General features: G+C 36.0%; 1 long non-coding RNA gene across 1 annotated transcript in view; it reads right to left on the minus strand.

Moving 5' to 3' along the window:
- Positions 1–379: 379 nt before the first annotated feature.
- Positions 380–22,027, minus strand: part of LINC00331 (long intergenic non-protein coding RNA 331) — a 52,732-nt gene continuing 31,084 nt past the window's right edge. Inside the window, exons 3-5 of the long non-coding RNA NR_046869.2 lie at positions 5,222–5,363; positions 2,578–2,645; positions 380–540 (exon numbers count right to left, since the gene is read on the minus strand). This is a non-coding gene — a long non-coding RNA (long intergenic non-protein coding RNA 331). The remainder of the gene's footprint in view (positions 541–2,577; positions 2,646–5,221; positions 5,364–22,027) is intronic.

Raw genomic sequence — 22,027 nt, forward strand, 5'->3', positions numbered from 1 at the left:
AAAGGCCAAATCTGTGTCCTTTGTAAAAAATGGCCTCAGCAATACAATGTCCTAGCAAGCAGCTAGGAAAATTGACCAATACTTGGGTCAGCGATGGTTGTAGTTGGGAAACTTCCAGTATAGTTTTGGTTCTAAATGGTCATTAGATCTAGATTATTTAGGCTGTGAATAATTAAGAGATAAAAATGTGTACAATACATATGTATTGGTTATTCTGGTTCACAGTTAAACTATTAATTACATGAGTTTCTAAATAAAAATATTTAAAAATTGGGAAAAAGAGTAGAGTCGTGCAAATGTTTGGTTTCCTATAGATTGTCACACAACTGACTACAGTCTTTCAAAAACATAATTTAAGACACATACAGATAAACGTCTGGCTGTGGGTCCCCGGCTCCTGTGAGCTCCAGAAAACCTCGGACACACTTCCTGTTTGCGCATGTTGAGCTCTGGCTGGGGCGCTCCTCTCCTGCCTGTCTCCTACGTGCAGAGTCAGTGCGGTAGTTCTCCCATTTCTCTAAGAGCCTGCTCTCTCTGTCTCTGGCATAAGTGAGAGGAAAAAAAAAAAGACCATTACAAATGAGGAGAGACATAGAGCTCTTAGGCAAAAGGGAATATAGAACCCACAGAGTTTAAATAAAAGCTGTCACTGCTGAGTGAACTGAAGGCTCCAACTCTGGCACGGGATCGCTTTTTAAAGAAGCCCTGGCTCAGTGAGGGAGAAATAGGAGCTTTCGAATACTTATTTGTTTCCTACAAGCCCTCTATTTCTGCTTTGAAAAAGAACCAGAAAGCCAAAAAGAAATACTTTGGGTTTCTTTTTCTAAATATCTGTCTATATGAGTTATCGCATATGGAAGATTGATTTTATTTTTTCCAAGTCTATTTTCAATTCACAGTGATGCTAGGTAAAACAGAACCTGCCTATGTTTTTAGAAGACAGTGAATTGGTTCCCTACTTTGCCAGTTATAAAGCCTTGGACAAATTATTTAATGTTTAGGTCCCTTTTTCTCATTTGCAAAATGGGAATAATCATGTCTACCATGAGGGGATGAAATATAAACTAAGATAATTTGAAAAACATTTTTTTTACATTCCCTAACACATAGTTACACCAAAAATATTGTTGGCCAAGGAACAATTCAAAAACAAAACAGTAGGAAGGAAAAAAAAAGGAAAAAGAAATTAAAACGCTCAAGTAAATAAGAAGAATATTCTGAGAGGGAGCCTCAAAAATATAAAATTATGGGAATCAAGTTAAGATTAGAAAAAGTCAGGGACTAAAATAAAAACTGCATGTCATGCCATTGCAGGTTTAGATAAAGTGAATGAAATTTGGTGTTTTAAAAATAGTTTCTGGTCAGAGGCAGTGGCTCACACCTGTAACCCCAGCATTTTGAGAGGCCAAGGTGAAAAGATTGCTTGAGGCCAGGAGTTTGAGAACAGCCTGGGCAACAAAGGGACACCCCTGTCTCTACAAAAATTGAGAAAGTGAAAAAAAAAATTAGCCAAACATGGTGGTGCATGGCATGCACCTGTAGTCCCAGCTACTCAGGAGGCTAAGGCAGGAGGATCACATGAGCCTAGGAATTTGAAGCTGCTGTGAGCTATGATTGTGCTATTGCACTCCAGCCTGGGTGACAGAGTGAGACACCCCATCTCTAAATGAATAAATAAAGCTCATTATGGAGAACAGATGCTTGAAACGAAATAGAGAAATTGCCCTCCTGATGAAGGGATGAAGAAGTTTGAAGCATGAAAATTGTAGTAAACACAAGCTAAAAGGTTGAGCAGCTCTGGTCATCCTGAAGACAGGGGGCTGCAGTTTCTACCAGTGTGGCTGTCACAGTGTCTTTGGGGAGGGCCTATGTCTCCTCCACAGATTCTTGCCATCTGTCAGTCATCCTTGTTGGTTCTTGAAAAGCTCCATTTTGTGAGTTTAGATCCAAATCAAGCAAGTCAGGGGCTCAGCTAACTTTGAGTTCATGGACTTTAGTTGAACTGATCAGCAGCAAATTCATTCTAGCTAAAATTTCAAGTTCATTCAGAATGAAAATACTGGGAAACAGTTTCCTACCTCTTTATCGTAGGATCTCAGTACAAGTTTGTTTATTCATTCATTTGTTTATTCAGTCAATTATTATTGGGTGTCGACTGAGTGACAGACTCTGTGCTAGATTCTGGGAATGAAACAACTAACTACAGAAGAATGTTCCCTGTCTTCTAAAGGGTACAGTTATTTTAGGTAGTCTCACCCAACCCTCCCAGCATCCCTACACAGTTGTTTTTGGGGCCCTTCCCTACTGATCAACATGCTCCCAGCTGCCTTTGCACAAGGCTGCAGCATACTAAAGTCACCCAGGGATTCTCTTAGAATGCTTGCTAAGTTTAAATATATACACTATGTCGAGATCCTCTGAGCAACTATTAATAGCTGTATCAGGTCCAATGGGGTTAATCTGAGATCTAACATCAAACGGGGGAATAACATATCAAAACTAAAGTTCAAACTATAGATAATAAAGATGAAATAAGTTAGTGGATGGATTGAATGGCAAGTGGAACATGAAACATACATTTTGGATTCTTGATCACTCTCTTCTTTGATTATGACTCTTCCTTTCTGGCTTCACCTCATTCTAGTCTGTTAGGGATAATAAATAGCTAATATTTAATGGTGGTTTTTTATGTGCCAGACACTATGCTAAATTTATCTCATATAATTCTCACCTCAAAGAGATGGATATTATCACTATTTTTTTCCGATAAGAAAACTGAGGCACAGAGAGGTTAAGCAAATCCTCTAAGAGCATTTAACAGTGGAAAAATTGTGGGGCTACAATTCATATGCATGAGTTTTTTCAGAGCTGACATTCTCAACTCTATATTTTGTCTCCTTCAACCATCCTGCCTCTCTTTCTTTGACTAGATTTAATAGGCAAATTGATTTTTATCTTTTGTGTTCTCTATCTGGGATTCTTTCTGTCTTTTGGTTTTTCTTCAGAAAATTTCAAGCAAACAAAAGTAAAAGAATGGTATAACAAACCCTGTATATGCATCAATCTTAAATTCTCTTTACTTTCACCTGATCAATCATAGTTACCTCACAGATAAACCCTACATTTCTATCTGCCTGCTGATCTGATTATTTGATTGTGGCATTCTTGATATTTTTAATGTACTCCAACAACCACTGTGGTTCAGAAGGACTGATCTAAGGATTTTTCTATGATGCTTTACCTCTAAGCCCTAAATTATCAATCATATAATTCTAGGGCTTCCCATCTGCTTAAATCTGTAGTGCAATATACAGACAGATCAGCATGTTAATTGCAAAAGGCAGACTCTTAATGAATGCTTTTTAATGAATTAATTAAACGGTGAAGTACTTAAAAAATTGTGACATAGAATAAAGAAGACATAGGCATGCTCTTAATTTTTGTAGTGAGGATAAAAGAGTTTGCACTTTTTCTTTCATGCACCAGGGGATTTTCTAAAGAATTTTTCTCATCTTAGGGAAAGATAAAGTTGTCCATAACCTGTTCCTATAGAATAAGACTCCCAAGAAGAGGATTTTTCATGGCAGCATTGGTTAAACTGTTGATAAGGAAGGATTGGGAAGGGTTCTACTAGACTTAGATTTAGGAGGGATAAAATACTGATGGGAAATAGCATGAGTAAAATTATACAGCAGGCATGAACTTGCAAAAGCATTTCCTTTGAAGTAGCCATCTCTTTCATGTTGTGTTGGTTGCTGTCTGAAGTTTGATCCTTCCTTCCTTCCTTCCTTCCTTCCTTCCTTCCTTCCTTCCTTCCTTCCTTCCTTCCTTCCCTCCTCTGAAGAGAATTTTCAGTTCTCTTCAGACTCTATACATTAACCTTGGAAATCCCACTCACTCTGATGGACTAAATTAACCAATATATGAGACGATTCTTAAATGTCTAATTCCAGCCCTACCTTTTTCTTATCTCCAGACACATTAATTCAGCTGCCTTTTGGAAATTGCCACTTAGATGTCCTCACAGTTTCCTCAAACCTAGGATGTCTGAAATAGAATTCATCGTCTTCCCATTAACCACTCCTCCTTCCATTTTTCCTACTGTACAAGATGACATGCCCCAATTGCCTAAGCCAAAAACCTGGACTCCTCATTGTCTTTTCCTCTCCGTTTGCCATTAATCACCGTGTCCTGTTGAATCAGCTTTCTAAATATATCTCCAATCTGTCACCTCTCTTCATCCTCACTACCACATACCAGGCCTCTGTCATCACTGGACTAGAGTACTGTTAGAGTTTTCTAATGACATCTTTCTCTAGTCTTGCTTCCCTCCACTTCTTCTTCCTCCTTCCCACCAAAGTGTTACTCTAAAATGCAAATCTGCCTGTATATGGCCAGCTTAAAACTCTTCAAGTAGTCCACATTAACAAACTCTAAACTTTTCAGCTTAGCAAACCACTCTAAGACCTTCTTCCTGTATGTTTCCTTGCATCCTGGATTTCAGACATATTGATCTGTTTGTAGCTCCCAGCACACATAGATGATTCCTCAGCTTTGTGCTTTTGCTCTTAATCTTCCTTCTAAAATGAAGCCTTTAGCTTTTCTCCTTCTTCATACCCCTACCAATGACAGTCTACTTACCCTTCAAGATGTTCCAGTCTCAGCTCAAGGGGTCCTTCCTCTGTAAAGCCTTTCCTGAACCACTCTAGTAATTTCTACCGTGAAATTTGGTCATTTCAAGGGTAGAATTGAACGTGTGCTCTACTGTGTTCATTAGAACCTAAAACACATATAACTTTTATTTTGCTGACATTTTAATATATCCATAGCTATTTATGAAGAGTGTTTTGTTTCTTCTACACCCAGCACCATTTCTGGCATAGAGTATACTAAAAATATTTCGGTTGTTTGCTTGATTGACAGATTGAATAAATGTGTACTCCTGAATAATTTTCTGTTATTATCATGAATATGTTCTTATATTTTGTTTCCTTTTCATTATTAGAAGTCTTTCCTATGTCTTTACTACTAAATGCTGTTATGGAATTAACAATTTATATAGAATTATTATCTTGTTTTAGGTTGCTTCCTATTCTTTCTAATCACTGCTCCCCCACCCAAGATTTATTTACTTCAATTTGTTTACATAGATAATGCCTTAAAAAGTTAGAATTTAAATCTTTAAAACAATTTCTACAATACCTTTTAAAGTAATACTTACAGTTTTTGTTATTATCATCTTTAAAATATCTTCTTTCATCTTATTTAGACACCATTACCTCTTTCTAATTACAATAAATTTCTGGAGAGAGTCAACCTCTTATCACTTCTAATTTGGTAATTTCACTTGGTTCCTTTGGGCACTGTTATTAGAAATTGATATGAGATGAGATTTGGTAGATTTGATTGCTTACTTCAAGATGGAATCTTCTTTACTCTTTCCGTTGGAAATTTTATTCAGAATGTATTGAGAGCTGAAGGTTTTCTGGGCTCTTACTAGGCAGGAGTACGAGATGAGTAAGCAGAGCTGCTTACCTGAAGGAGTTTATAATACTGAAGGAAGAGAAGACAGTTATACGGAGAGCTGTAACACTGAGATGGGATAAATGCTAAGAGAAAAAGATGAAGTGCTGTAGGAGGAGAGAACAGAGACTTATTTCCAGTAAGGAGATCGAAGGAAAGCTTCATAGAAGAAGGGAGCTTTGAAAATTGACTAGGATATCAACAGGTGATGATTGGGAGAGGACGTTACACACTGGAAAATAAGGGTGTTTGGTTGAGGTGGAGAAAATATATAAGGTATGGAGAACAGGGGTACAGAGCATCCAGAGGGTGGGGTGGCAGTCCTACAGGATGGTGAAAACTGGAATGATGGCCATATTAAGGAAGCCCTTGAATGCCTCACCATCAACCGAGGCCCACTGGGGGCTTTTGAATAGGGCAGTGAACCTTCTTTCCTTTTGCTATTATCTACCTACAGCAGCTTATCATGTTCCCCTTATCTTTCATGCTCTGCATTTGCAAAGAAATTGCCAGGCTATCGCTTCTCTTTAAAGACCTTCTTCTCTAACCACACTAAGTTATGCTATTTTTTTTCCTTACTCAATCTTTTGACACAATGTTTTGCTATTCAAACTTCAGCCACACTTTGTTGTTGTTGTTGCTTTTGGGACACTGTTACTAGGAACTAGCTGATTTGGAGTAAAGATTGTTCTGCAAGTATATTCACTGTAAGAAAGGATTCTTATCAAAACTTTCTAGCTTGCTACATGTCATTTAATTTAAATATTATAATCTCTACTTAATATCTGTTGTGTCATATGAATGATGCCCACCAAGAAATGTTCTCTTGGGAATGTCATCTTGCTTCTTTTATCTTACTCTTTTTAAATTCAAAGATTTAGATTTCATTCACTTTTGGGATGGTGCAGTACAAGTCCTGTCAGACATATATATCACAACTCTTTCCTCCCGGTTTATGTCTTGCTGTTTCATTTATCTTGAAGGAGGTATTTTCTAAGCTGCTTTATTCAGACATGATCTATATACCATAACTTCATCCATTTCAATTGTCCAATTTAGTAGACTTTAGTATACTTTCAGAGTTGTATAACTATCATAATATAATTTTGGAGTATTTACATTTCTCTAAAAAAGACATTTTGTACCTAATTACAGTTATTTCCTGTTTTTTCCTCCCAGTCCTAGGCAACCACTAATCTACTTAGTTTCTCTTATTATTTGCTTTTTTGGACACTTTATATAAGGAATTATACAATATGTGTTCTTCTGTGTGTGTGTTTCAGTTAGTATAATGTTTTTGAGGGTTATCCAGCTGTAATATCTGTCAGTACTTTCCTTTTTTATTGCTGATAAAATTCATTATATGGATATAACACATTTTGTTTATCTGTCAGCAGATGGACATTTGGGTCATTTCCATTTTTTGGCTATTGTGAATAATACGGCTATCAATACTTGCGTACAAGGTTTTGTGTGGACATATTTTCATTTATTTTGAGTAGATTCCTAAGAGTGAGATTTTTAGGTGGTATGATAAATTTATATTTGACCCTTTAAGAATGTGCCAAAATGTTCTCCAAAGTAGCTGCACCATCTTAGATTCCTGAGATAAGTATTTGAGGGCTCTAGTTTCTCTGCATTCTTGTCAATACTTGTTATTGTCTGTCCTTTTGATTATAGCCATTTTAATTAGTGTGATGCTATCTTATTGTGATTTTGATTTATATTTCCCTAATGATTAATGATGTGGAGAATTTTTTCATATGCTTTTGGTCATTTGTATATTCTCTGAATAAATGCTAATTCGGATGCTTTGACCATTTTTAATTGACTTATGTGTCCTTTTGAGATGGAAGAGTTTTATGTACGTTCTAGATACGAATCCTTTATCAGATATGTGCTTTGCAAACATTCTCCCACATTCTGTGGGTTATTTTCTCACTCTTGATAATGTCTTTTGAAATACAAATTTTAAAAATTTTGACAAAAGTTAACCTGTTCATTTTTTTCTTTTATTGCTGTGCTTTCAGAGTTCACCCACTTTTTCTGAGGTGTGGGTCAGATTAACTTACGAAAACTCTATTTCCTATGTTTATGATTATATAACAAATGGAGGCCTCTATCACCTTAATTGCAAGGTGATTGGGCCTGCTTACCCTGAAGCATCAGTTGATCTACTGTGGATATCCTGAAATCACAACAGTGAATTAGAAATTACTTTCAGCTTTGGGGATTCACCACCTTCATAAACTTCTACTTCTTCCTCTTGCTATCCTGCTCTTATCCTTGAAGTAGTAAGCACTCTGTCCTGAGAGATTCAGAACATAACATCTGCTTGCCTCCTGAGGGATCTAGGTCAGATAATCATTTGTTAAAACGTGTCCTGTGCTTTGTAGGATGTTTGGCAACATCTGTGGTCTCTACCAATGCATGTATTGTGTTCTCCTGGCTGTAACAACCTAAAATGTATCAGTCGGTGCAAATGTTCAGGGAAGTGGGGCTGGAGGCAGAGAGAAAGCGGGGAGGGAGGAAATCACCACCTACTGAGAACTACTGCTTTTGTCATACACAGTATGTTCAAAGATAATCCATGAGCCTGGTATTGTTGCAAACAGACTATTCCGAACCTGCTCTCCTTGACTTTGTCCAGGTCTCCAGAACTCAAAGCAGCAGAATTAAGTTATAAAAGAGTTTGGACTGGGAGCCAGAAGACCTGGATTCTACTCTTGAATCTGCATCTTACTTGCTTGCTTTGACCAAATTACTTAATCTTACTGTAATTTAACTTTCTCATTGAGAAAATGAAGTTTTGGATGTCAACTATTTCTCCTTTAAAGCAATGGTTCTCAGTAGGGGATGATTTCCTCCCTCCCCACTTTCTCTCCCCCTCCACCCCCACTTCCCTGAACATTTGCACCATCTGATATATTTTAGGTTGTTATAGCAAAGAGAACACCAATACATGTAGTGGTAGAGACCAGCGATGTTACTAAATATCCTACAAAGCACAGGACAGGTTTTAACAACAAATGATTATCTGGCCCCAGTTGTTAAAAGTGTTGAGCTTGAGAAATCCTATTTTAGAGTATAATTTTTATTACCGTTTTGTTAGAAAATTTTCCTATCTTGTTTTATCCAAGTACTTCCTTTCTTTCAAAGTTCAGCTGTACAGTGGGGCCTTCTTTGTCCTTCCTAATTAATAATAGTTATTTTTTAAATTTTCTGAATTCCTATGGCACTTGTTATTATCCTATTAATAAGTATAGTGTAATATATATTACACTATGTAATGTAGTATAGTAAAAAAACTATAAAAATGTTTTAAACCATAAAAAGTATATGTTTATAGGCTAATCAATTAAATATCATAATTTATAAGATTTTCACTTGTGTCATCAAAGTAATTGTGGACATTATGAACTTTCTTTATCTCAGCTGGTCTCTTGAGGTACCTGCATCCCTGCTACTCATAGCTAACAATAAGGTAGAGGCTAAAGATTTTGCCAACTTACATGTAAGGATTATCTGAGGATCTTTCCCTGGCCCAGTCCACTCCATGCTCTTCACTAGAGGGCCAATCCCTCAAGAAAAGTCTGATGGTTCCACTCAGGAGAATAGAAAACCTGCCCAGGCTCTCCTAGAAACAAGTCAGCCAAACAAATGAGGGCAAGGCCTGGGTAAAGATTTTGTGCAGGACCACTGCATTGTATGTGCAGGGAATCTGTTTTCTAAAATAAATTTCCTTACACTTTCCCTCTGTATAGCAATCTGTTTAAGCATCTCTGTTTCTCCACCATATCATGTGGGTTATGAATTATTATTTTTTACCAGAATATGAGCCAGCTTTAGAAACACAATCTAAAGGCCATCATTGGAGTCATTTGTGAAAACATTAAACAGCACCAGGTGCAGGGCTGACCCCTTGAGGACCACTACTCAATATGCCCCCAAGGCTGAAATTTAACCATTGATGACTTCTCAGTAGGGCCCTCTGACCAATACTACATCAATCAATAGTGTTCTTCCAACCCCACATCCTCAGAATCCCACTTGCTCTCTTTGGATCTGACTCCACTTATTAGTTATTTTACTCAGATAGGATAGCTAAAATGTTAAGGTATCTGCGCAAATGATTTATAAGAATGAGTACATACTTATGTATGACTTTGTGTCAATGACTTACAAAGAGTACAGATTCAATTGCATGAAAGGCATCAGTTGGCTAGTGATATGGTTTGGATGTTTTTCCCCACCCAAATCCCCAGTGTTGGAGGTGGGTCCTGGTGGGGGTGTTTGGGTCATGGGGATGGAACCCTCATGAATGGCTTTGTGCCATCCTCATGGTAATGAGGCAGTTCTCGCTGTATGAGCTCAGGCAAGATATTGTTGTTTAAAGAGCCTGGAACCTCTTCCCTCTCTCACTGTTGCTCCCTCTCACCATGTGATGCACCTGCTCCTCGTTTGCTTTCCACCTGATTGTAAGGTTCCTGAGGCCTTACCAGAAGCCAAGCAAATGTTGGTGCCATGCTTATACAGCCTGCAGAACTGTGAGCCAAAATAAGCCTCTTCTTTATAAATTACCCAGTTTCAGGTATTCCTTTATAGCAAAGCAAATGGACTAACACAGCTATCAAACATTTAAAAAAATGACTTTTCGTTGTTATTTTGCCTTAACAGGTTACTGAAATAATCTCTCTCCCCCACTGTTTGTGAAATCTTCTTTCCTAAGTGTCTTCATTAAGCCTTAACTCAACAATATGGACTCTGTGCATGGGTCATGGTGGGGTAGTGGGGGCATGGAAAAGGGTTAATCTGTTCAATTAGCATTAGATTTTACATGGTATTCTCTCTGTAGAATATTCACTACTTAATTTTATAATTTTACTAAATAAATCCAACCAGGAGACTTTCCACTTTATTTACTAATATAATTGTGATTTGATAAAATATTTTTAGAAGTAAAAAGTCGATAGACTTCATATTTAAAGCAGTTTTAAGTTTATAGAAAAGTTGAACAGAAAGGATAGAGAGTTCCTATAATGCTCTCCTTCCCCCCTTTCCCCCAGTTTCCCCTATTATTAACATCTTGCATTGGTGTGGTACATTTGTTACAACAGATAAACTGATATTTATTATTACTAATGAATATCCATAGTTTACATTAATGTTCACTTTTTGTGTTATACAGTTTTGTGAAGTTTGCAAATGCATAAACTTCTGTATCTAACATTATGGTGTCAGACAGAATAGAGGCATATCAAGGCATGTTCAGTAGGGTTTGGTTTCAGGCCACTGAAATAAAGTGAATATCTCAATAAAGCAAGTCACAAAAAATGTTTTGGTTTCTTAGCACATATAAATTATTACATTTACATGATACTGTGGTCTATTAAGTGTGAAATAGCATTATCTCTAAAAATGTGCAAAACTTAATTTAAAAATACTTAATTGCTAAAAAATGTTAACAATCATTTGAGCCTTTAGCAAATCATAGTCTTTTTGCTGGTGGAGGGTCCCACCTGGATGTTAATGGCTGCCCACCAATCAGGATGGTGGTTGGGGTGGCTGTGGCAATTTCTTGCTGAAGGTTGGGGTGGCTGTGGCAATTTCTTAAAATAATATATCCATGAGGTTTGCTGCATTGATGGACTCTTTCTTTCATGAAAGATTTCTCTGTAGCATGTGATGCTGTTTGATAGCATTTTAGCCACAGTAGAACTTCTTTCAAAATCATCTTAAACCCTGCTCCTGTTTTATCAACTAAGTTTATGTATATTTTAAATATTTTGTTGTAATTTCAACACTTCTCAGAGCACTTTCTCCATGAGTAGATTCTATCTCAAGAAACAACTTCCATCACTCATTTATAAGAAGCATCTCCTAATTTGTTCAAGTTTTATCATGATATTGCAGCCATATTCAGTCCCATCTTCAAGGCATCACTTCGAATTCTACTTCTCTTGCTGTTTCCACCACATCTGCAGTTACTTCCTCCGCTGAAGTCTTGAACCCCTCAAAGTCATTCATGAGGGTTGGAATCAAGTTCTTCCAAACTCCTGTTAATGTTGACATTTTGACTTTCCCTCATGAATCATGAATGTTCTTAATGGCATCTAGAATGGTGACTCCTTTCCAGAAGGTTTTCAATTTACTTTGCCCAGATCTATCAGAGAAAGCACTATCTATGGCAGCTATAGCTTACAAAATTCTTAAATAATGAGACTTAAAAGTCAAATTTTTTCTGAATCCACAGGCCGAAGAATGGAGGTTATGTTAGCAGATATGAAAAACCCATCGATTTCCTTGTACATCTCCATCAGAGGTCTTGGATGATCAGGTGCATTATGAATGAGCAAAGATAAAAAAGAAATCTCAAGAATCTTTTTTCTGAGAAGTAGGTTTCAATAGTAGGTGGCTTCAAAATTCAGTAAACCATGCTGTAAACAGATATGCTGTTATCCAGGCTTTGTTATTGCATTTATAGAGCACAGGCAGAGTAGATTTAGCATAATTCCTAAGGGTCCCAGGATTTTCAGAATGGGAAATTGGCTTCAACTTAAAGTCACCTGCAGCGTTAGCCCCTAAGAAGAGAGTCAGCCTGTCCTTTGAAGCTTTGAAACCAGGTTTTGACTTTTTCTGTCTAGCTATAAAAGTCCTAGAAGACATCTTCTTCCAAGAGAAGGCTGTTTCATCTACATCAAAAATCTGTTGTTTAGTGTGGCCACCTTCATCAATGCTCTTATCTAGATCTGAATAACTTGCTTGAGCTTCTACATTCAGCACTTGCTGCTTCACATTGTGCTTTTGTGGTTTTGAAGATGGCTTCTTTTCCTAAACCTCATGAACTAATCTCTGCTAGCTTCCAACTTTTCTTCTACAACTCCTTACCACTTTCAGCCTTCCTAGAATTGATGAGAGTTAGGTCGTTGCTCTGCATTGGGCTTTTACTTAAGGGAATGCTGTGGATGCTTTGTTCTTCCATTCCGACTATTAAATTTTCTCTATATCAGCAATAAGGCTGTTTTGTTTCTTTTTTTGTTTGTTTATCATTGGTGTGCTCAGTGCAGTAGCACTGTAAATTTTTTGAAGAACTTTTTATTTGCATTCACAACTTGGCTAATTGGTACAAGAGGCCTAGCTTTCAGCCTGTCTCGGCTTTTGATATGCCTTCCTCACTAAGCTTATTTCTAGTTTTGATTTTAAGTAGAGATATGCAGCTCATCCTTTCATTTGAACCCTTAGAGGCCATTGTAGAGTTATTAATTGGCCTAATTCCAATACTGTCATCTGTCAGAGACCCCAGAAGAAGGAGTGAGATGGCGGAAGGGCTTATTGTGGAGCAGTCAGATCACACAAAACATTTATCAATTAAGTTTATGGTTTTGTGTGTGGATGGTCCATGGTATCCCAAGACAATTACAATAGTAACATCAAATATCACTGATTACAGATCACCGTAACACATATACTAATAATGAAAAAGTTTAAAATATTGTGAGAATTATCAAAATGTAACACAGAGACATGAAGTGAGCATGCTGTTGGAAAATGGCACCTATAGACTTGCTTGAGGCAGGGTTGCCACAAACCTTCAATTTGTAAAAAGCACGGTATCTACAAAATGCAATAAAGCAAAGTGCAACAAAATAAGGAATGCCTGTAATTCCACTACCCTAAAAAATCCTCTGTGCTCCCTACTCACAACCCCATTTCCTGGCCACCACTGGTCTTTTTACTCTCTCCATAGTTTTGCCTTTTCCAGAATGCCATATAGTTAGAGTCATACAGTATGTAGCTTTTTCAGACTGACTGCCTTTGTTTTTTTGTTTGTTTGGTTTTTGTTTTTTGACACAGGGTCTGGCTCTTGCTCAGGCTGGAGTGCAGTCGCACAATCTCAGCTGGTTCACTGTATCCTCTGCATGCCTGGCCCAAGCCATCCTCCTACCTCAGCCTTCTGAGTAGCTGAGAAGTGTGCACCTTCAATGCCAGGCTAATTTTTGTATTTATTTATTTTTCTTGGTAGAGACGTGGTTTCCCCATGTTGCTCAGGCTGGTCTCAAACTCCTGGGCTCCAGTGATCCACTCCTCTCAGCCTTCCAAAGTGCTAGGATTACATAACAATATACATTTAAGATTCCTTCTTCTCTTTGTGGCGCAAAAGAATATTCCATCTATGGTGCATAGATACCACAGTTTGCTTATTCATTCAGGCGTTGAAGGATGTCTTAGTTGCTGCCAGTTTGGGACAATTATGAATAAAGCTAATATAAGCATTCTTGTGCAAATTTTTGTGTGGATATAGGTTTTCAGTTCACTTGGGTAAAGATCTAGGGGTGCGATTGTCAGATTATGTGGTAAGAATATATTTAGCTTTGTAAGAAGGTGCCAAACTATCTTTCAAAGAGGCTGCACTATTTTGCATTCCCACCAGCAGTGGATAAGAGTTCTTGGTGCTCCACATCCTTCTCAGGATTTGGTGGTGTTAGTGTTTTGGATATTAGTCACCGTATTAAGTGTGCAGAGATATTTCGTTATTGTTTTAATTTGCAATTCCCTAAAGAAATATGATGTTAACCATCTGTATTAGTCCATTTTCACACTAATAAAGACATACCCGAGACTGGGTAATTTTTATCTTTTTAATTTTTATTTATTTATTTATTTATTTTTGAGATGGAGTCTCGCACTATCACCAAAGCTGGAGTGCAGTGGCGTGATCTCGGCTCACTGCAACCTCCGCCTCCCGAGTTCAGGTGATTCTCCAGCCTCAGCCTCTTGAGTAGCTGGGATTACAGATACGTACCACTACGCCCAGCTAATTTTTGTATGTTTTAGTAGAGACAGGGTTTCACCATGTTGGCCAGGCTGGTCTCAAACTTCTGAACTCAGTTATCCATAGACTGGGTAATTTATAAAGAAAAAGAGGTTTAATGGACTCACAGTTCCACATGGGTGGGGAGCCCTCACAATCATGGCAGAAGGCAATAGGCACCTCTTACATGGCAGCAGGCAAGAGGGAATGAGAGCCAAGCAAAAGGGGAAACCCCTTACCAAACCTTCAGATCTTGTGAGATTTATTCACTACCATGAGCACAGTATGAGGGAAACCACCCCCATGATTCAATTATCTCCCACCATGTCCCTCCCACAGCACATGGGAATTATGGGAGCTACAATTCAAGATGAGGCTTGGGTGGAGACACAGCCAAGTCATAGCAGCATCTTTTCTTATCCTTATTTGTTATCTGAGTATTTTTTTTGGTGAGATGTCTGTTCAGATTTTTTACCCAATTTTAAATTCAATTTGTTTTCTTCTATTTTTTTCAAATTTACTTATTTGTTTTAAATGGACAGATAAATTGTATGCATTTATTGTGTACAACATGATGTTTTGAAGGATATATACATTGTAAAATAATTGAATCTCACTAATTAAAATATGTATTACCTAACATAGTTACCATTTTTATGGTGTACTATCTACTATATAGTAATATACTATTTTAGCAAATTTCAACAATACAATACATTGTTATTAACTATAATAACCATGTTGTACAATAGAGCTTTTGAACTTATTTCTCCTATCTAACTGTAATTTTGTATCTTTTGAGCCACATCTCCTCAAACTTCTCCACCCTAACCACCCTAGTGTCTGGCAACCACCATTCTGCTCTCTACTTTTATAAGATCAACTTTTTTAGATCCCACATAAGAGTAAGACCATTATTAGCTTAACATGATTCGTGATGTTAAGCAATTTTTCATATACCAGTTGGCCATTTGTATGTCTTTCTTTGAGAAATGTCAGTTCAGGATTTTTCTCCATTTTTAATTGGGTGACTTATTGTTATTGAGCTTTTAAAATTCCTTATGTTTTAAATACAGGTATTAATATTTTATCAGATGTATAGCTTGCAATTTTTTTCTCTCATTCTGTAGGTTTTATCTTTAGTCTGTTGATTGTTTGCTTTATTGTATAGAAACTTTTTAGTTTGATGAATTCCCATTTGGCTATTTTTACTTATGTTGCCTGAGGTAATATTCAATAAAAATATTTCCTGGATCACTGTCATGGAGCTTGTATTAGTCCGTTTTCATACTGCTATAAAAAACTTCCCAAGACTAAGTTTACAAAGGAAAGAAGTTTAACTAACTCACAGTTCAGCATGGCTGAGGAGGCCTCAAGAAACTTACAATCGTGGCAGAAGGTAAAGGGGAAGCAAGGCACCTTCTTCATAAGGCGGCAGGAAGGAGAAGTGCCAAGTGAAGGGAGAGGAGCCCCTTATAAAACCATCAGATCTCATGGGAACTCACTCACTATCATGAGAACACCATTGGGGAAACCATCCCCATGATCCAATTACCTCCATCTGATCTCTCCCTTGACGTGTGGAGATTATGGGAATTATAATTCAAGATGAGATTTGAGTGGAGACACAAAGCCTAATCATATCAGAGCCTTTCACCTATGTTTTCTTTTAGTAGTTCATTACATTTACATCTTTAACCCATTTTGAGTTGAGTTTTGTATATGGCTTGAAATGAGGGTCTAATTTTATTCTTCTGCATGTGGATATCCAGTTTTCCCAACACCATTTATTGGGAAACTGTCTTTTCCCTATTTTGTGTTCTTGGCACCTTGCCAAAAATTGCTTGCCATAAATGCATGAATTCATTCCTAAGTTTTCTATTCTGTTCCACTGGTCTATGTATCTTTTTATGCCAGTACCATGCTGTATTGGTTACTGTAGTTTTGTTCTCTATTTTAAAATCAGGTAGTGTGAGTCCTCCAGTTTTGTTCTTTTACTCAAGATTGCTTTGGCCAACATGCTCCTCAGTGACCCAAGGATCAATGAAGAAATTATGAAGGAAATTAAAATATTTCTTGAAACGAATGAAAATGGAAACACAACATACTAGAACCTATGGGGTACAGCAAAAACAGTACTAAATGGGAACTTTTTTTTTTTTTTTTTTGAGACAGAGTCTCACTCTGTCACCCAGGCTGGAGTGCAGTGGTGCAATCTTGGCTCACTGCAACCTCTGCCTCCTGGGTTCAAGCGATTCTCCTTCCTCAGCCTCCCAAGTAGCTGGGACTACAGGCACATGCCACCACACCTGGCTAATTTTTGCATTTTTAGTAGAGACGGGATTTCACCGTATTAGCCAGGCTGGTCTTAAACTTCTGACCTTGTGATCCATCCACCTTGGCCTCCCAAAGTGCTGGGATTATAGGTGTGAGCCAGTGCTCCTGGCCCTAAGTGGGAATTTTATAGCAATAAACACCTACACCAACAAAATAGAAGGACTCCAAATAAATAACCTAATGATTCATCTCAAGGAACTAGAAAAGTAACAAAATCATTAGAATAAAAGAAATAATAAAGGTTAGAGAATAAATCAAATTGCGACTAAACTGTGCAAAGGATCAACAAAATAAAAAGTTAGCTTTTTGAAAGAATAAAAAAAATCGACAAACTTAGCTATATTAAGAGAAAAGGAGAGAAGATTAAATAAGACCAAAAATGAAAAAGGAGGCATTACAATGGATAACACAGAAATAGAAAGGATCGTTAGAGACTATTATGAACAACTATCCACCAACAAGTTGGAAAACCTAGAAGAAATGAATAAATTCCTGGATACATACAACCCACCAAGATTGTACCACGAGGAAATAGAAAACGTGAACAGACCAATTATGAGTAATAAGATTGAATCAGAAATAAAATCTCCCATCAAGGAAAGGTACTGGACCTGATGGAGTCACTGCTGAATTCTACCAAATACTTAAAGAACTAAAGCCATACTACTCAAAGTATTTCAAGAAATGGAAGAAGAGAGAATGCCTCCAAACTAATTCTACAAGGCTGGCATTATCCTGATACCAAAACCAGACAAAGTCATGATAAAAAAAATTACTAGCCAATATATCTGATGAACATGGATGTACAAATTCTCAAAAAAGCACTATCAAACAGAATTCAACAACACATTAAAAAGATCATTTGTCATGATCAAGTGAGATTCATCTCACGGATGTAAGGATGGTTCAATTCATGCAAATCAATAAACATGATACATCACATCAAAGATATCAAGGACAAAACCATATGGTCATTTCAATAGATGCTGAAAAAACATTCAGTAAAAGTCAACATTGCTTCATGATAAAAAAAAAAAACCCTCAACAAACTGGGTATAGAAGGAATATACCTCAACATAATAAAGACCATATATGACAAGCCCACAGCTAATATCATACTGAATGGGGAAAAGTTGAAAGCCTTTTAACTAAGATCTGGAACAAGTCAAAGATGCCCACTTTCACACTTGTATTCAACATAGTACTGGAAATCCTAACCAGACCAATTAGGCAAGAGAAAAAGGGCATCCAAATAGAAAATTAATAAGTCAAATTATTTTTGTTTGCAATTGACATGATCTTATATTTAGACAAAACGTAAAGACTCCACCAAAAATGATCTTAGAACTGATAAATTTAGTAAAATTGTACAATGCAAAATCAAAATACAAAAATTAGGAGCATCTCTGTCAGTTAAGTGCTTAATCTGAAAAGGAAATCAAGAAAGCAATTCCACTGCAATAGCTACATAAAACAACAACCTAGGAATCAATTTAACCAAAGAAGTAAAAGATCTATACAAGGAAAGCTATAAAATACTGAGGAAAAAAAATTGAAAAGGACACAAAAATGGAAATATATTTCACACTCATGGATTAGAAAAATTAATATTGTTAAAATGTCATTGATTAGAAGAATTAATATTGCTAATATTGTTAAAATGTATTTGGGTATATTTCTGTACACCCAAAGAAATACACAGATTCAATGCAATTTCTGTCAAAATATCAATGATATTTCTTACAGAATAGAAAAAACAATCATAACATTTGTATGGAACCACTGAAGACCTCATAAAGACAAAGCAATACTGAGCAAAAAGAACAATACTAGAGGCATCACACCACCTGATTTCAAATTATACTATAAAGGTATAGCAACCCAAACAGCATGATATTGGTGTAAAAAGAGACACATAGGCCAATGAAACAGAATAGAGGACTCAGAAATAAGTCCATGCATTTATAGCCAACTCATTTTCAATAAAGGTGCCAAGAACATACATTGGGGAAAGAAGTCTCTTTAATAAATGCTTCTGGGAAAACTGGATATCCACATGAAGAAGAATGAAACTAGATTTTCATCTTTCACCATGTACAAAAATCAATCAAATGAACTCAAAATTGATTAAAGATGTAAATATAGGACCCAAAGCTATGAATCTAATAGAATAAAATATTGGAAAGTGTAGCAGGACATTGGTCCAGGCAAAGATTTTTGGGATAAGACCTCAAAAACATAGGCAACAAACGCAAAAATAGGCAAATGGAATTATATCAAGATAACAAGCTTCTGCCCAACAAAGGCAACAATTAAAGTAAAGAGACAACCTACAGATGGAAGAAAATATTTGCAAACTCTTCATTCAGCAGGGAATTAATAACCATAATATATAAGGAACTCAACCCAATGGCCAAAAAACAAATAATCTGATTTTTAAAATGAGCAAAAGACCTGAATAGACATTTCTCAAAAGAAGACATACAAATGGCCAAAAGGCATATGAAAATATCCTCAATATCACTAACCATAAGAGATGTGCAAATCACCATTATAATGAGATATCACCTCACCCCAGTTAGAATAGCTATTATCAAAAAATGAAAAAATAACAAAAGCCGATGAGGATGTGGAGAAAGAGGAATGCTCACAGACCGTTGGTGGAAATGTAAAGTGGTACATTATAGAAAACAGTATGGGGTTTTCTGAAAAAACTAAATACAGAGGTATCATACGATCCAGCAATTCCACTACTGGTATATATCCAGAGAAAATTAAATCAGTGTGCTGAAGAGATATATGCATTCCTATGTTTATTGCAGCACTATTCACAGTAGCCAAGATATGGAATCAACTTAACTGTCCATCAAGGGATTACTGGATAAAGAAAGAAAAAGTGGTATATATACACAATGGAATAATATTCAGTGTTTAAAAAGAAGGAAAATAGATAAACCTGGAGGATATTATGTTAAGTGAAATAAACCAGGCACAGAAAGACAAATATCACATGTTCTCATTCATATGTGGGAGCTAAACACCATGGCCTCCTGGAGGTAGAGAGTAGAATAGCGGCTACCAGAGTCTGAGGAGAGAAGCGAAAAGGAGGGAATGAAGTGAAGTTGGTTAACGGGCATGAAAATACTGTCAGATAGAAGGGATCAATTTCAGGCCTCAACGGTATAGTAGGGAAATTATAGTTAATAATAATTTATTATATAGTTTAAAAGATAAGAATTTTAACATTCCCAACACAGCAAAAGATAAATGTCGGAGGTGATGGCTATCCTAATTACCCTGATTTTATTACACATTGTACACATGTATAAAAATGTCACATGTACCCCCAAACTATGCATAACTATGATATATCAATTAAAAAATACAAAAGAAGACTGCATTGGCTATTCAGGGTCTTTTGTGGTTCCATATGAATTTTAAGATTGTTATCTTTCTATAATGAATGTCTTTGATATTTTCATAGGGATTGCATTGAATCTGTAGATCTCTGTGGGTAGTATGGAAACTTAAACAATATTAATTCTTCAATCCATAAGCATGAGGTATCTTTTCATTTATTTGAGTCTTTTTCTTTTTTCTTTTTTTTTTTAGAGATAATTTTATTTATTGAGAAATATAACTTGGCATTGCTGGTTTTCAAGCAATACAATTAAGATATTTGAGTCTTTTTCCATTTCTTTTCTTAAGTCTTCTCTTTTATAGATTTTAGTATAGAAATGTTTCACCTCCTTGGCCAAATTTATTCTGAAGAGTTTTATCTTTTTACATATTATAAATAGAATTAGTGTTTTCTTGATTTCTTTTTCAGATAGTTTGAAGTTAGTGTATAGAACCTCTACTGATATTTTTATATTGACTTTGTATCCCCCAACTTGACTGAATTCATTTATTAGTTCTCATAGTTTTTTCATGGAGTGTTTAGGGTTTTCTATATATAAGATCCCTGAAAACTGGGACAATTTATTCCTTTACAATTTGGATGCCTTTTATTTTTTATCTTGCTTAATTGGTCTGGCTAGGACTTTCAGTACAATGTTGAATAGAAGTGGCAAGAGTAGGCATCCTTATCTTATTCCTGATCTTAGAGGACAAGCTTTCAATTTTCCCCATTAAATATTACATTAGCTGTGAGATTGCCAATATATCGTCTTTATTGTGTCAAGGCACATTTCTTCTATACCTAATTTGTTGAGAGCTTTTTTTCATGAGATGATGTTAAAGTTTGTCAAATGCTCTTCCTACATCTCTTGAAACAATTATGTTTTTTTCTTCATTCTGTTAATGTGATGTATCATGTTTATTAATCAGCATAGGTTGGACCATTCATACATTCTTGAGATAAATCTCACTTGATCATGGCGAATGATTTTTCTAATGTGCTGTTGAATTTGGTTTACTAGTATTTTGTTGAGGATTTGTGAATCTATGTTCATTAGTGATATTTTTTCTATAGTTTTCTTTTTATGTAATGTCCTTTCCTGGCTTTGATATCAAGGTAATGCTAATCTCATGAAGTTAAATTTAGAGTATTCCTTCTTAAATTTTTTGAGGAGAATTTTAGAAGAATTTGCGTTAGTTTTTCTTTAAATGGATTTATAATTTAGGTATGAATTGGCTAAATTTAGAAATTAGCTATCAAGCCATTTGGTCCTGTGCTTTAATGGGTGACATTTTATTACTGATTCAAACTCCTTGCTCATTTATTGGTCTGTTTGAATTTTCTATTTATAATTTAATCTTGGTAGGTTGCATGTGTCAAATAATTTGTTCACTAATATGTTGGTATATAATTATTCATAACAGTCTCTTATGATCCTTCGTATTTCTGTGGTATCAGTTGCAATAACTCCCTTTTCATTTTTTGTTTTATTTGCTCTTCTCTCTTTTTTTCTTAGTCAATCTAGATAAAGGCTTGTTAATTTTGTTTATCTTTTCTAAAAAAACAACCATTTGTTTCATTGATCTTTTGGATTTTTTATTAGTCTGAATTTCATTTATCTGCTCTGATCCTTATTATTTCCTTTCTTCTACTAATTTTGGAGTTATTTTGCTCTTTCTAGTTTTTTGAGATGCAACAGTAGATTACTCATTTGCATTTTTCTTCTTTTTTGATGTAAGCATTTATTGCTAGAAACTTCCTTCTTGAACTGCTGTTGCTGCAGTTCTTATAAGTTTTGGTAAGTTGTGTTTTATTTTCCTTTGTCTCAAGATACTTTTAAAATTTTGATTTAATTTCTTGATTAGCCTATTGGTTGTTCAAGAGCAGGATGCTTAACTTTTACGTATTTCGTAAATTTTCTGAAGTTCGTAGAAATTATTGATTTCTAGTTTTCT

The sequence above is a fragment of the Homo sapiens genome, chromosome 13, assembly GCF_000001405.40.
Source record: "Homo sapiens chromosome 13, GRCh38.p14 Primary Assembly".
NCBI classification, from domain to species: domain Eukaryota; kingdom Metazoa; phylum Chordata; class Mammalia; order Primates; family Hominidae; genus Homo; species Homo sapiens.